Consider the following 14,875-nt stretch of genomic DNA (forward strand, 5'->3'; position numbering starts at 1 on the left):
TGCCTTCCATAAGGCATGTTAGAATCATAGTGTTTATTTTTGTTTCATCTTTCCTCAAAATATAGCTTCAGTTTACAAAAGTTCATGATGAGTTTTGCCTGCCCTGGGTTCTCTGGATTGAAAAAGCTTGAGAAACCCTCTAGGTTAAGAGGTGACGTCCACCAAGATAACAACGAACTTGGCTTTTCCTTTGTTTTAGCAACAACGAACTGTCTACAGACTGACGCTCGTGAAAGCATGGAACGTGGACGAGCTCCAGGCCTACGCGCAGCTCGTGTCCCTGGGGAATCCTGACTTCATCGAAGTGAAGGTAAGCCCCTGCTGACTCTGGTGGCTGTGGTGGAGTGACAAAGAATCGTGGTGCTTCGTTGGCCATCGTGGAGTTAAAACCTTGTAAAACTCTAGAGGTCCCAGGAATTTTATTGATGTATTCATTTCGTGATCGATATTCATCAAGAACCTGGAATTGTTCTAGGCCTTGGGGATAATAGCAGTCAAGAAGACCAAGCTCTTGCTCTTATAAAGCTAGTATTTTAGTGGGAGGATGGACAGTCCACACAAAGTGAGTCATTAAAAACCATGTAGTGACATGAATATGCTGAGAAATAAAATAGTGTGGTGGTGAGTAATTGGTTGGCTTTTACATAAACCTTTATTTCAGACATATACGGAAGTAGAGAGATTGGTCTAATGAACTCCCATCCAACCATCACTCACCTTCAAAAATGATCAACTCATGACCCAGAGTTGTTTCAATTATACCTTTACCCATTTTTTCTGCTCTTAGCCCAGATTATTTTAAAGCAAACCACCAAAATTATATCATTTACCCAGAATTATTTCAGCATATATTCCTAAAAGATTTCTACTCTTATTTTATTTACTTTATTTCATATTTTATTTTATTTTATTTTATTTTGAGACAAGGACTTGCTCTGTCACCCAGGTTGGAGTGCAGTGCTGTGATCGTAGCTTACTGCAGCCTCCAACTCTTGGGTTCCAGTAGTCCTCCTGCCTCAGCCTCCTGAGTAGCTGGGACTAGAGGTGCACGCCACTATGCCTGGCTATTTTTTGTAGCGAGAAGGTCTCACTGTTTTGCCCAGGCTGGTCTCAAACTCCTGGCCTCAAGCGACCTTCCTACCTCGGCCTCTCAAAGTGCTGGGATTATAGGTGTGAGCCACTGTGCCCGGCTGATGTGTATTCTTTTGAAACAGTTATTCAGAGTGCTGGGCTCATACCTAAAAATTTTCAACTAAAAATTTTAATTTCCTCTTCTATGTGTTTTGTTTTTCCTCTTAGAAATCACTTTGCTGTAGAAAATGGATCATGCATCTTGGCTGATGCCCTGTGTTTATATTTTAGATTTTGTTGAGTGCATGTTCCTGTGTATCCTGTGGATTGGTGCCTACAGTTAGATCAAGAGAAGATTGATTAAATTCAGGGGTGCATGTGTGTGTGGGTTTGTTTGTATTTCAGGAATATTTCACTGGTGGTCTTGTATACTCCAATCAGGAGTCACATAATGTCTGCTTGCCTCTCATATTTTTGCAAGTGTTTCTTTGGGATAGATTCCGATGAGTGTATTGCTGGGTCAAAGGGTAAATGCATATATTATTTTACTAGATATGGTGGTTGACTATTTTAGGGAAGCTTTTCTGAGATGACATTTTATTTTATTTTATTTTATTTTATTTTATTTTATTTTATTTTATTTTATTTTATTTATGTTATGTTATGTTATGTTATGTTATGTTATGTTATGTTATGTTATGTTATGTTATGTTATGTTATGGTTTTTTGAGATGAAGTCTCGCTCTGTCACCCAGGCTGGAGTACAGTGGCGTGATCTTGGCTCACTGAAACCTCCGCCTCCCGGGTTCAAGCGATTCTCCTCCCTCAGCCTCCCAAGTAGCTGGTGCTACAGCTGCCCACTACCGCACCTGGCTAATTTTTCTGTTTTTAGTAGAGACGGGGTTTCACCATGTTGACCAGGCTGGTCTCGAACTCCTGACCTTGAGTGATCCACCCACCTCAGCCTCCCAAAGTGCTGAGATTACAGGGTTAGAACTACCGCGCCAGGCCTGAGATGACATTTTAAAAACTGATACCTAAATGGTAAGCAGAAACCTGGGGTAAGGGCGTTCCAGGCAGGTGGTGCTAGTGCATGGAGGTCCTGTGCTATCCTAGTGGAGTGGCTGAGGTTGGCAGCGGCACAGGATAAATCAGAGCAGTGGGCTGGGGCAGCTTTTATGAGGCCTTTCAAGCAAAGATAAGGGGATTGGATTTTAAACTAAGTTTGATGGTAAGCTTTGTAAATATAGGTGCACTAGGAAAGGGCGTGAAGCTGGGGAGAGATGCAGTCTGATTTGTGATTTTAAAAGATCACCCCACTGCTGCAGCATGGCTTGGTTATAGAGGGCAGTAGAGTAGGCACAACAGTCACAAAGTGAGTGGTTAGTCCAAGCAAGAGATGGTTTGGGGAAGGTCAGTGGGACTAGGGCCGGAGAGCCGTGGGTACATTTAGGATTCCTTTTGGAAGTAGAACCAATAAAACATTTTGCTAGATTATAGGTACGGGCTGAAAGAAAAAAGAATCAAGAATAGCACCTGGGTTTTTGGCTTAAGCCATTGCGTGGATGGTGAAACTGTTTGCTGAGATACAGGAAACCAGGAGGGAAAAGGGGACATATTTGGGGAGAAATGTTGAGCTCCCTGTTGGCAACATTAAATTTGAGATATCTTTTAAATATCCAAGTAGAAGTTTAAATAGATCATAGGTTTTATAAGCTCGAAGTTTCAGGGGTAAGATAGGGCTAGAAATAATGTTTGGAAGTAATGGCTTTTTTAGGCAACTAATTGTCCACAAGACAAGAGAAGTGATGAGAAAATGTACCCTGTCTGGGAAAGCCAACTCTGCTCATTTCCGTTTATGGCTTTGAAACTGAACCCTGTCTGTGTCATATCAGAGGTTTTACAGCTGTCTTTTGGTGAGTTTAGCTTTTGGTGTTACTCTAGAGGGGTGGGGAGGTGGGAACAGATGAAATACTGCTGTCTGAGTACGTAACATTTTATCTCTGGTCAGGCTGAAGACACTCTTGAAATTGCACTTAATTTCAAAAGGCTACTCTTGGCAGGAGCTCTAATGATGCAAAGATACAAACTGCAGCTGAAAATATATGTATCAGCTTAAGCAAACCTTGCCAACATCAGAGATTAGTGGTGTTTTAATTTATGATTTAGCTATTAAAGAATGCTGCCTCAAATTATGTTGTAGTAAAACCTCTATTATAATAAAGCAGCTTGGCTGGATCTCCCTTTTTTTCATTTCCTTCCTTTCTTCCCCCCCGCCCCACCTCTCCCCCCTCCTTTCTTACTTTCGCAGTCATGTTTTTCTATAAAGGACAGGTATTTTAAATCTGAAAAAAATCAGTCAACATTATTTTTTAAAGAATGACAGCTACTTGGTAAACAGTATACTTCTCTGATGGGTATTATTTGGTTCACCAAACTATGAACATCACTAGGAAATAGATAAAGCCTTCTGTCTATAGCTGAGATGTTTTGTTTTGTTTTGTTTTTCTGAGACAGTCTTGCTCAGTTGCCTAGACTGGAGTGCAGTGGTGCAATCATGGCTCACAGCAGCCTCCAGCTCCTGGGCTCAAGTGATCCTCCCACCTCAGCCTCCCAAGTAGCTGGATGACAGACGCACACCACCACACCTGGCTAATTTAAAACATTTTTGTATTTATAGAAATGGGGTCTCACTATGTTGCCCAGGCTGGTCTTGAACTCCTGGCCTCAAGCAGTCCTCCTACGTTAGCCTCCCAAAGTGCTGGGATTACAGACATGAGCCACTGCAGCCGGCCTAGCTAAGATGCTATTAACAACAAAGTTTTCTTTCAAAATTTCCATTTTACTATTTTGTCCTTGCATTCAACAATATTTGTGAGCTCTCTCCATGTGATAGGCCTTGTTAAAGCTCTGGAGATGAAAAATTTTATATGAATGTGCTGTTGGGAAATGAATGTTTTATTGAAAATAAGCAAAAATCTATAAAAGTAAAATGACCTACTCTGAGAGATTTTATAATTGAAAACTCTTGGAGAAATGTATAACCACAATTAAATTTTTTTTTTTTTTTTTTTTTTTTTTTTTGAGATAGGGTCTTACTCTGTCTCCCAGACTGGAGCGCAGTGGCACAATCTCGGTTCACTGCAACCGCCGCCTCCTGGGTTCAAGCAGTTCTCATGCCTCTGCCACCCAAATAGCTGGGATTACAGGTGTATACCACCATGCTTGGCCAATTTGTGTACTTTTTGTAGAGACAGGGTCTTGCCATGTTGCCCAGGCTGGTCTTGAACTCCTGAGCTCAGGTGATCCACCCGCCTTGGCCTCCCAAAGTGTTGGGATTACAGGCGTGAGCCACCACGCCTGGCTTAAAATAAATATTTTGATGATAAAATATAATGTAATAAATAACAGTTCATGTTACATCAGAGGGAGGCACATTCAGTCATGTCATATCTTTCATAAAAGACCCCAGGGAGAAATGTCCTGCAATGAATGTCAAATGCCTGGTCACTGGAGGTCAGTCTCATGCTTTGTTAACTTACCTGTCATTTGTCCAGCAAGTTAATGAGATTCTTCCTTTGATGCTGTAGTCGCAAAAGGGATGTTTATAGAATATAGCATACTGCTACTAAGAGGAAAAACAAATTCTAGAATAATATTTATTATGCAATTCCATTTTTTAAATTTTAATTTGCATTTTAAATCCTTGATTACATTTTCAATGTTGTATGTTCAGATGTATTTATGTAAGAAAAGTATGGAAGGATATCTGTCAGATTGTTAACAGTGACCTATTTGGGAGAAGGGGAGGGAAATGTTTATTAATTTTACTTTTTGTAATTATGTATTGTGTGGATTATTACAATGAGCATGCATTGGTTTGTAATTCAAAAGACAAATGAAATCAGTAAATGGAGAAGGCATGCTTTTCCTGTTCAATAGGATTGAACTACAGAATGTCTGAAAATACATCTTTTTGTCATTGTTGTCTTATTAATTAAAGTTAAAAATTTCTAAAATAGAGGAGTTTTAAAAATCATTGTCTGGGCCTCATGGCTCATGCCTGTAATCCCAGCACTTTGGGAGGCCGAGTCAGGCAGATCACTTGAGGTCAGGAGTTCGAGACCAGCCTGGCCACATGGTGAAACCCTGTCTCTACTAAAAATACAAAAATTAGCTGGGCGTGGTGGCAGGTGCCTATAATCCCAGCTACTCGGGAGGCTGAGGCATGAGAATCACTTGAATCCAGGAGGCAGAGGCTGCAGTGAGCTGAGATCATGCCACTGTACTCCAGCCTGGTCAAAAGAGCGAGACTCTGTCTCAAAAAAAAATTAATAAATAACAACAACAATAATAATAATAAGACCTCTCCATAAAACATTTGATAAGAACTAGCAATATGGCAGGCTATAACCTCAAACCTCTCTAAGGATTAACACTTAGAAGTGAATCTGTTATGAAAACCATACGTTTGGGAAGGTGCATATCTGTCAGGGCTGTAAGGGAGACACTCTTGGAGCGGGAAGAAAAGAGACCATTCTGGAAGTACTCCATGGTCCTAGTAGACAGTACTCGGGTTTAAAGGACAGAAGACTAGGCCCTTTCACCTTCAATGAAAGGATGGATTAGGGAAAAACTTACCCACGGACACAGTAACACTTGGAAGGCTTGTTCCCTACCCGTGCGTTTGGTAAAAAGGAAAAGTCTCTCCAGGGCCTTACCCTCAAATGGCCTTGGAATTCAAATTTAGTATTATGGTACCTCAAGGTCATATAAATGCCCCCAAGATGTGAAATCAATAATACAAATTGGCCCTAGATTCACAGATATGCCTGGAGCTCCCTGCAGATGCAGACACAATGCTGTTCATACCCTTTGTATTTCAATTGAGTTGCTTATCTTTTTGTTATTAAGTTCTTTGATTTTAAAATGGAAACACACATGTATGTGTATGTGTGTGCATTCAGAGTACTGTACTGAATTGTTGACAAATTTCTAAATCCAGTGTGAGGAAGGTTTCTAACATGTATGTATCACCCCATTCAACTTCTTTTTCTCATTTTGCTTGTAGCACTAACCTAATTGGATTTAGGAAACGCTACCTTCCTTTTTCTATCTACCCTGTGTGCAGTTTCTCTTTTGTGAGTCAAAGGAAAAATCATCTTAACTTTGGTCATAGAAGTGGTAGCATGAACAACCCTTGGGTCAGGAAGGGCGACTGTAAATGCGGGAGTGGCGTCATGGCCAGGCATGCCCTCGGCATCTTTTCTCCCTGACGTGTGAGTGTGTGGTGTGTTTATGTGTGTGGTGTGTGTGCATCTGTGTTGTGTGTGTGCATGTGTGTGGTGTGTGCACTTGTGTGTTGTATGTGTGCATGTATGTGTGTTCATGTGTGTGTTGTGTGCGTGTGTTGTGTGTATGTGCATGTGTGTGTGGTATGTGTATGTATGTGTGTGTGTTTGTGTTTGTGTGTGTCTGTCCGTGTGTGCGTGTCAGATCTGGGGTCTCCCATAGTCTGCACTTACTAGAGTCTCATGTGGGGTGAGAGGCAGTGCCCAGTTTTGATACCCACCTAAAATGTGCCAGTGTAGCCTAGGACAGGTTATTCATCCTCCTTGAGCCTAAATTCTGTCAATATTAAAATTTGCATAAGAATATCTCTTTAATAAGTTTGTTTTGAGAATTCAATGGGGTAATGTATGCCCAGATTCATTAAGTTTTTAGATCACTTTCCATTAAGCACATTTATTTAAACAAAATCAATAGAGGCTATTGCTTTATCATATCGATTTCCTCTTTTCTTTCTTTACCAGTCTTGTAAAATATTTTTCTGCTATATTCCTTGTAAATTAGCATGTATCTTAGCTTCATTAGGCTTAAAGAGGCCTTTATTTGCTAGCCTGAGAATCTTCCTTGTCATTATTTGCTTGCTTGCTTGTGAAAAGGTTTCATGTTACAACCATCTGTCTTGCTGAAAACTTTTGTAACACAATCCATTTGTAAATGAAATACTGTCTGTGTGTTCTCTGCCTAGCATTACACCTTGAGAATAGGACGTGCTCAGTAATTATTTGTTGTCAAATGACTTAAAACTACTTACTGTTGGCACCCTAGCTGTGTGTAGTGCTCAATCCTTGCAGAACGCACCCTGCAAAATGATTGTCTTAGCATAGCCTCACTCTCTCCCACAAAGGTGAGGAATACTGTCAGTTTTTCTTGTATGTAGCAGTCCCTAGCCAGCGTTTATCAGCTGGTTCATACCTGTTACAGAGTAGAAAACTCCTGAGTCATGTGAATGAAATTTTGTACTAGATTAGAAAAGAGTTGTGGAGTTTAATGTCATAGGAGAATGTCTGACTTGATTTTTTGTTCATTTAGCATAGATTGATTTGGGGTGCCAAGAAGAGCAAGGCACAGCCCCTGCCCTCAAAGGGCTCAGAGTTTTGACGCTTCTTTATACCAGTTACCTGGTAACAGATAACTGCACAGGATGTGATAAGATCAGGGTCAGATAGCGTAGAGGTTCCTGAATGGAGGTTAAAGAAATGATGGGTCACTTTAGCCAGGTGCAGACAGGATGCTGAGTGGGCAGTCCAGCTCTAGAGTTACTTGTGCATATGGCCAAAGACAGGGGCTTGAATGGCTGATGGTCCATTGTTAGCGCAAGCTACGGAGGCAGGTGAGGAAGGCCTCGTGCCGTGGTGAGAAGCTCGGGCTGGTTTAAAGAGTTATTGAAGCATTTTTAGGATAAAGGAATGAAGTATTTGGGGTATATTATGGGGAAAAAATGTCATAACGTCATTATTTATTTTCTCATCAAACTATAGGGGACAAAAACAGTATTAGGAGTCTTTTGACACCCAGTTGGTTTAATTAGAATATCAAATAGTCAAACCAGCAAAATACTGCTCTTCCCACAGACCATGAATCCCAAGGCAAACTCTCCAAGCAGCCAGTGAGGAAGACTTTATGGCCCCATCTTAGTCTGTTTGCATCACTATAAAGGAATACCTGAGGCTAATTTATAAAGAAAGGAGGTTTGTTTGGTTCATGGTTCTGCAGGCTCTACAAGAAGCATGGTGCCAACAGCTGCTTGTGGTGAGGGCCACAGGCTGCTTTCAGTCATGGCAGAAGGCAGAGAAAGAGAGACAGACGGACGGACAGAGAGACAGACAGATGGACACTGCCCTTGTGACCCAAACACCTCCCACTGGGCTCCACCCCCAACACTGGGGATCACATTTCAGCATGAGGTTTGAACGCTCAGATAGCCACAGTATAGCAGCCCCCATCTCCTAGGGCAGTGGGGTGGGTCCAAAAGCCACAGGTTATAAAAGTGTGGGTTATGCTTTTCACTGCAAACTCAAGGATGCATAAATGATCCTGTTCTTCACAAACATTCTTGGGGTCTGCTTGTTACTCCTCAGCCTGCAGATTCTGGTGTGAGTGACTTGGCTTTTCCATCACCACGCTGTACCCATCTATTTTCTTCAGACTGTTCTTTATTCAGAGTTTTGGTGAAGAACTTGCTGCTTCTGATAAATGGAGTTGGGGGTGAGGGTGAGGGTGAGAGTGGGTGAGAAGGTGGCAGACAGCTGTGATATGAAGGGAAAGTTTTTTAGATAATTCTGTGCTCAGGAATAAAGTCAGGGCAAGCCATCAGTAGACTAGAGGGTAGGATGAAGTGGGGCAGTCGCAGCAGAGAGAAAACCAGACAGAGCCATTGGGCTCTGAGTGAGAGCTCGGGGTCCCTGAGGTGACCCCCAGTCTAAGTCACCAAGAACATTTTCTGCCCAGAGCATTTCTGTCACGGTGCAGCCTCTGGCTCTGCGGTTGACTCAGGAAGTTACCCAGGACTGCTTCCCTCAGAGGGTTTTGTTGCTGTTGTTGTTTGGTTTTTGTTTTGTTTTGTTTTGAGACAAGAGTGTTGCTCTGTTGCCCAGGCTGGAGTGGAGAGGCACTATCTCAGCTTGCTGCAATCTCCGCCTGCCGGGTTCGAGCTATTCTCCTGCCTCAGCCTCCCAAGTAGCTGGGATTACAGGCGGGCACCACCACGCCCAGCCAATTTTTGTATTTTTAATAGAGACAGGGTTTCACCATGTCGGCAAGGCTGGTCTCGAATTCCTGACCTCAAGTGATCTGCCCGCCTCAGCCTCCCAAAGAGCTGGGATTACAGGCATGAGCCACCGTGCCTAGCCTCCTCAAAGGGTTTTGTCTGGCAAAAATGAGAACTTTTATGTGAAAATACCATAAAGCATCATAGAGTCATAAGGAATGGGTGGAGTCATGATAATGAACCGCAGCAGGCATTCTCTCATTCCATTCCCAAACTAAATCTCCCCTCAGTGCTTCATGGCTATTTTTGCTGAGTAATAAAATATTAAAATATTTTCAAAAGCTGTTCTCACGAAGACAAGATTTTATCTAACAACTCTATGATTCAGTGAACTAACTTTTTAAATATTAAAAAGAAAGTCCTTTGAAGTAGCTACTGCATACATGGTTGTTTGTGTAATCCACACATAAGCAGTATTTAAATTGAGGTAGAGTACACTTTTATGACTAATGCTTATCAATAAATAATTTTCATGTTTTTTATGCACTTGGTAAGGCTAGCAGTTTTCCAGCCATGCTTTCGTAATGATGTCTTGAACCATATCATTATTTGCCTTTTTTATTCACCTTAAGCTCTGTTACTGAGCAAAAGGGGCTCACTACCTGATGCTCTGGAAGCCAATACTAATTGACATAGGGTTTTTGAGGGGGGAAAAGAAAGCTTTTTTATTGCAAGTCGACTAATAAAGAGACACTGAGTCCAGCTCAAATTTGTCTTCCTGTGCAGGCTTTAAGGCAGTGATTTTATTAGGGGATGGATTCTCAGATTAGTAAGTGATTGGTGGAAGGAAAGGGGAGATCTGGAAAGTCCTCGGACACGCGCAGTTGTCTGTTTGATCATGCTTGCTTGTGGTTTGCATATGCAAATTCAGGGGGAGTTAGTATGAAATGTGGTGGAAATTCGGGCTGTGATGTCAGCAAGCTCTTTCTATTCAGACTCCATTGGACATGTTGGTTCCAACCAATTTCAGCCAGTTTTTTTAAATCTCACAAGCAGAGGGAGTTTCAGCAGTTTTAGCAAGTTGTTTATTTTCTTATACGGCCATCCTGCAAACACAAGGATTTCTGTTAGTCGTTGGTTTCTTTAACTCTGTAGGGCACAGTTTCAGCTTGAACTCCGTTTAATGAATTCTCTAAATCACCGGGCAAACTGAGAAGATTCTCTTGTTTATTGTAATTAAGCTGGGTGGCTGTGGTTTATATTCCACAAAGGCCATCACAGTTTAGTGCACCAGTCATCTGTTTGAACAGCTGTCTTGAGTAGAGTGTTTGGCAAAGCTCATGTGAGTCTTCATCCAAGTCCCAGCTCTGTCATCAGGGTCAGGGTCACTCTGCTCATTTGTTGGTTTTTAAAAATTAAGTGTTGGCCAGGCGTGTTGGCTCACATCTGTAATCCCAGCACATAGGAGGCCGAGATGGGCAGATCAATTGAGGTCAGGAGTTCAAGACCAGCCTGGCCAACATGGCGAAACTCCATCTCTACTAAAAATACAAAAATTAGCTGGGCGTGGTGGCACGTGCCTGTATTCCCAGCTACATGGGAGGCTAAGGCAGGAGAATCACTTCAACCCAGGAGGCGGAGGCTGCAGTGAGCCGAGATCAGGCCACTGCACTCCAGCCTGGGCAACAAGAATGAGACTCTGTCTCAAAAAAAAAAAAAAAAAATTCAGTGTCATTCTGCATTCTCCAGTTTGTCTGTGGTGTGTGTGTGTCCTGTCTTTATATGTATTTGTGTGTGTTTGTGTGTGTGTGTGTGTGTGAGTGAATGTGTATGAGGGGTGCACATGCCTTTCTCCCCACTCCCTCCAAGTTATTCCCCACTTAGCGGAATCATTTCTGGGATTTTCTCAACAAGTTGTTGAGAAAAGTTTGATTTGTGGGTATTTGAAGAGCCCACAGAGTTAAGATTTATTTGAAGAAATAAGATAAATCTTTTAGTATTAGAAAATTAATCATTTTACCATTATGTAATTTACCAAATAAAGAACTTAGTTATGAAATTCTGGGGTCTTGTATGCCTTGGCTATTAGGTAGAGTCCAAAAGAGTTAGATAACTTAACTTTCTGCAGTTGTACTTAAGAATTTCTGTGTTGGTGAAATACATGTGTATATGTAGTTGTGTGTAAAGGTATATAGGTACATGCACAAATATATTTCCCTTTTGGCATGATTGTTTATGTAACCACATTCAAAGTGCATTACAAAATTAACTCCCTAAAGAATAATTTTAGGCCAGGTGTAGTGGCTCACACCTGTGATCCCAGCACCTTGGGAGGCTGGGGCAGGTAGATTGCTTGAGGCCAGGAATTCAAGACCAGCCTGGTCAACATGGCGAAACCCCATCTCTACTAAAAATACAAAAATTAGCCAGGCATGGTGGCAGGCGCCTGTAATCCCAGCCACTCAGAAGGCTGAGGCACGAGACTCTCTTGAACCAGGAAGTGGAGGTTGTGGTGAGCCCCGATTGCGCCACTGCACTCCAGCCTAGGCGACAGAGCAAGACTCTGACTCAAAAATGATAATAATAATAATTTTAAAGGGATCCTTATCTGTCACTTTAAGGAAAAAGTTTGCCAGTTTCAATCTCAATTATACTAGAAAATGGAAGCTCAGCTTATTTTCCCAGTGAATCAATTACTTGGTCAGTGAATTTTTATGAGTGTCCACTATGCCCCCATTATTGTCCTAAGGGGTGATAACCCCTTCATAATTCCTCAATTATAGTGCACAGATGAATCTGAATCAAAAGACATGCTGTTGATTCAAATACATTATTGTGACCAGACAGCCTAGATTGCGACAACGGTAGAAAGCGCAGGTACTTAAGCCCCAGCAATGTCATAGAGTAGCAAGAGCATCAGCCTGCTGTCTTTGTCAGTAGCTACTTGTATGGTCTCCTAGGCAGATTTTATCATCTCTATATTCACTTCCTTCACTGTAAAATACGGACTGGATTGCATTGGTTGACCTCAAGAAGGTTTTCCGGCTCTGAAAGTCTTCTTCTATGACATGCAGGTAGGTCTGTAGTCATCTCTGATGGTTATACTGTTTCCACAGGGCGTTACCTACTGCGGAGAAAGTTCAGCAAGCAGTCTTACCATGGCCCACGTGCCCTGGCATGAGGAAGTGGTACAGTTTGTCCACGAGTTGGTGGATCTGATCCCCGAATATGAAATTGCATGTGAACACGAACACTCTAATTGCCTCCTGATAGCACACAGAAAGGTAAGAATAACTCAAACATGGATTCTTCTGTTCCCCGACCCTGCTGTTCTTTCCTTCTCTTCTCTCTTTATTTTCCTCTTACATTGTTATAGGGATTATCTGCTTGTTTGCTACCTTTCCCAAAACAAAAATAAGAGAGCACTAAATTCTGTCTGCTGGGCTCATAAACTCTTTTCCATGTGAAATTGCTTCTTGTTTAGCCCTCCTCTGGACATCTTGAAGTACTTTCTGGTTTGCAATTTTAGAAGGTGCATGCTAACAAAACAAAAGCAAAATGCCCTTGTAATAACCTCTAGTCCTTTCCTGGAATGACAGGGAAAAGCTAAAATAGTAAATAGTCCCCATATGAGTTTCTAGCTGTCAGAAGCAATATTGTGGTATCTATCAAATTTTAGATTGCTTGAATCTTGGCATCTGGAGAATTTTGTTTGGGATTTTAGTTTATAACACTATTTCCATTTTTCCCCTTTAGTCCTTTTATTAGATAGAACAAGTATATGAATCTAGTATCTTTCTTAAGTAAATAACTCCTAGCAAAGGAAAAATCCAGTTCTTGATAGAGGTGGGCCACTAAAATAGTTTGCTAATTTTCTGGAGAAGTTCTGGAAAATTTCTTAGTCTTTATTTCTTTAAATACTTATTCTTTCTCATTATATGTTCTCCTCTAGGACTCCAATTAAACATATGTTAGACGTCATTACATATTTTTTTAATATCTCTTGCCTTCTCATTTGTATTTTTTGTGCTTTTGTCTCTCCATCTCTCCATATTTCATTTTGGGTAGTTTCTATTGATTCATCTTCCAGTTCACTAAGTCTTGCTTCAGCTGTGTCTCCTGTGCTATTAAATTCAACCATTAATTTCTTAATTTTGTATTTTATGTTTTTTTAATTGTATAATTTCTGCTTGGTTTATTTCAAAAATGCTATTTTGTATAATTTCTATTTCCCTGCTGAAGTTTTCAAGCTTGGGTTTTATCTTCTTGAGTACTGGAAGTGAGTTGTTTTATGGTTTGTATCTGATAATTCCAATGACTAAAGTTCCTGTGGGCGTGTGTCTGTTGTCTGTCATTTCTGCAGGTTCTCATTCATGTTGCCTTGTCTTCTCCAGTGCCTTGTTACCTGTGATTGCATTCTGTACGTTGCATTTAGAAGATTATTTCTAGAAATCAAGTCAAGCCTAGGATCAGAAGATCTCTAATGTGGTGTTTTAGATATGTGATTTAACCCTTTCACTTTTTCCTTATGGAATCTGAGGTCTGAACGGTGAAGAAACTGGCTTAAATGGCTGTGTCAAACTGGAATCACAGCCTTCTCTCCCTCTAGTCCATTGATCTTTTTTATAATACAAGGCATCTTTCAAAACCATTGGCAGTATTCAAAGGAACATTTAAAACAGGACAATTTAATTTTAGTCTAATCCTTTACTTCAGTCTGTAAGATTTCTTCTCTTTTCCCATGAGGATAGGGGAAATAGATAGCAAACCATCTCATTCAAGCCAATTCAGTTCTTCAAGTGTTTATTGAATGCCTGCTGAGTTCTGGACACCAGGGTGTGCAGCAAGGGACACAGTGCTCAGACATGAAGAATGGAAAGCCACAGGGTTAATTGAAAAGTAGACTTGGCACAAATCTTACACTACCACTTGTTAACTAGGTGACTTTGTGCAAGTTCTTTCATCTTTCTGTAGTGTAATGAATGAGAAGAGATTATGCGTGGAGTCAGATTGATTAGAGGGCTTTAATCTTGGCCCCTGTCTCTTTAGCTTTTCATCTGGAAAATGGGTATATTGCTAGCCAAGGCCATTATTATGAAACACTTAACACAGCACCTGGCTCATAGCATGATTCAGTTATTGCTGCTTCAGTTATTTTTATTTTTATAAAACCACCTAATTTGGTGAATGCTTAATATGTGACAGACACTGCCAAGTGTATTTTTAAATCCTCACAGCATCCCTACAAGGTAGGTACTATCGAGACCTCTGTCTTTTTTTTTTTTTTTTTAAGATGGAGTCTTGCTCTGTTGCACAGGCTGGAGTGCAGTGATGCAACCTCGGCTCACTGCAACCTCTGCCTCCTCGCTTCAAGCGATTCTCCTGCCTTAGCCGCCCGAGTAGCTGGGACTACAGGCGTGAGCCACCACACCCAGCTAATTTTTGTGTTTTTAGTAGAGACGGGGTTTCACCGTGTTAGCCAGGCTGGTTTCGACCTCCTGACCTCAAGTGATACACCTGTCTCAGTCTCCCAAAGTGCTGGGATTACAGGCATGGGCCACCATGCCCAGTCTGAGCTCTGTCTTATGGAAGAGAAATTGACACATCAAGGGGTTCAGTAACTTGCCCAAGATGAAACAGCCAGTAAGGAGTAGAAATGGGATTTAAGCCCTGGCATCTGACTCCAGAGCCTGTATTCCCTTCTTTCCTTCCTTCTTTCTTTTTCTTTTGTTTTAAATTTGGAAATTA

The 14,875-nt window shown here is 41.3% G+C and overlaps 1 protein-coding gene across 5 annotated transcripts in view; it reads left to right on the forward strand.

Moving 5' to 3' along the window:
- Positions 1-14,875, forward strand: part of TYW1 (tRNA-yW synthesizing protein 1 homolog) — a 242,682-nt gene that overhangs the window by 186,094 nt on the left and 41,713 nt on the right. For all 5 annotated transcript variants that reach the window (NR_134540.2, NM_018264.4, XM_017012392.3 and 2 more), the window contains 2 exons: positions 200-310; positions 12,244-12,411. Coding sequence is in view for 4 of the 5 variants with exons in the window: in NM_018264.4 (NP_060734.2) it covers positions 200-310; positions 12,244-12,411 (279 nt within the window). In the remaining variant the exon portion in view is untranslated. The remainder of the gene's footprint in view (positions 1-199; positions 311-12,243; positions 12,412-14,875) is intronic.

Source organism: Homo sapiens, chromosome 7 (genome assembly GCF_000001405.40).
Source record: "Homo sapiens chromosome 7, GRCh38.p14 Primary Assembly".
NCBI lineage: Eukaryota > Metazoa > Chordata > Mammalia > Primates > Hominidae > Homo > Homo sapiens.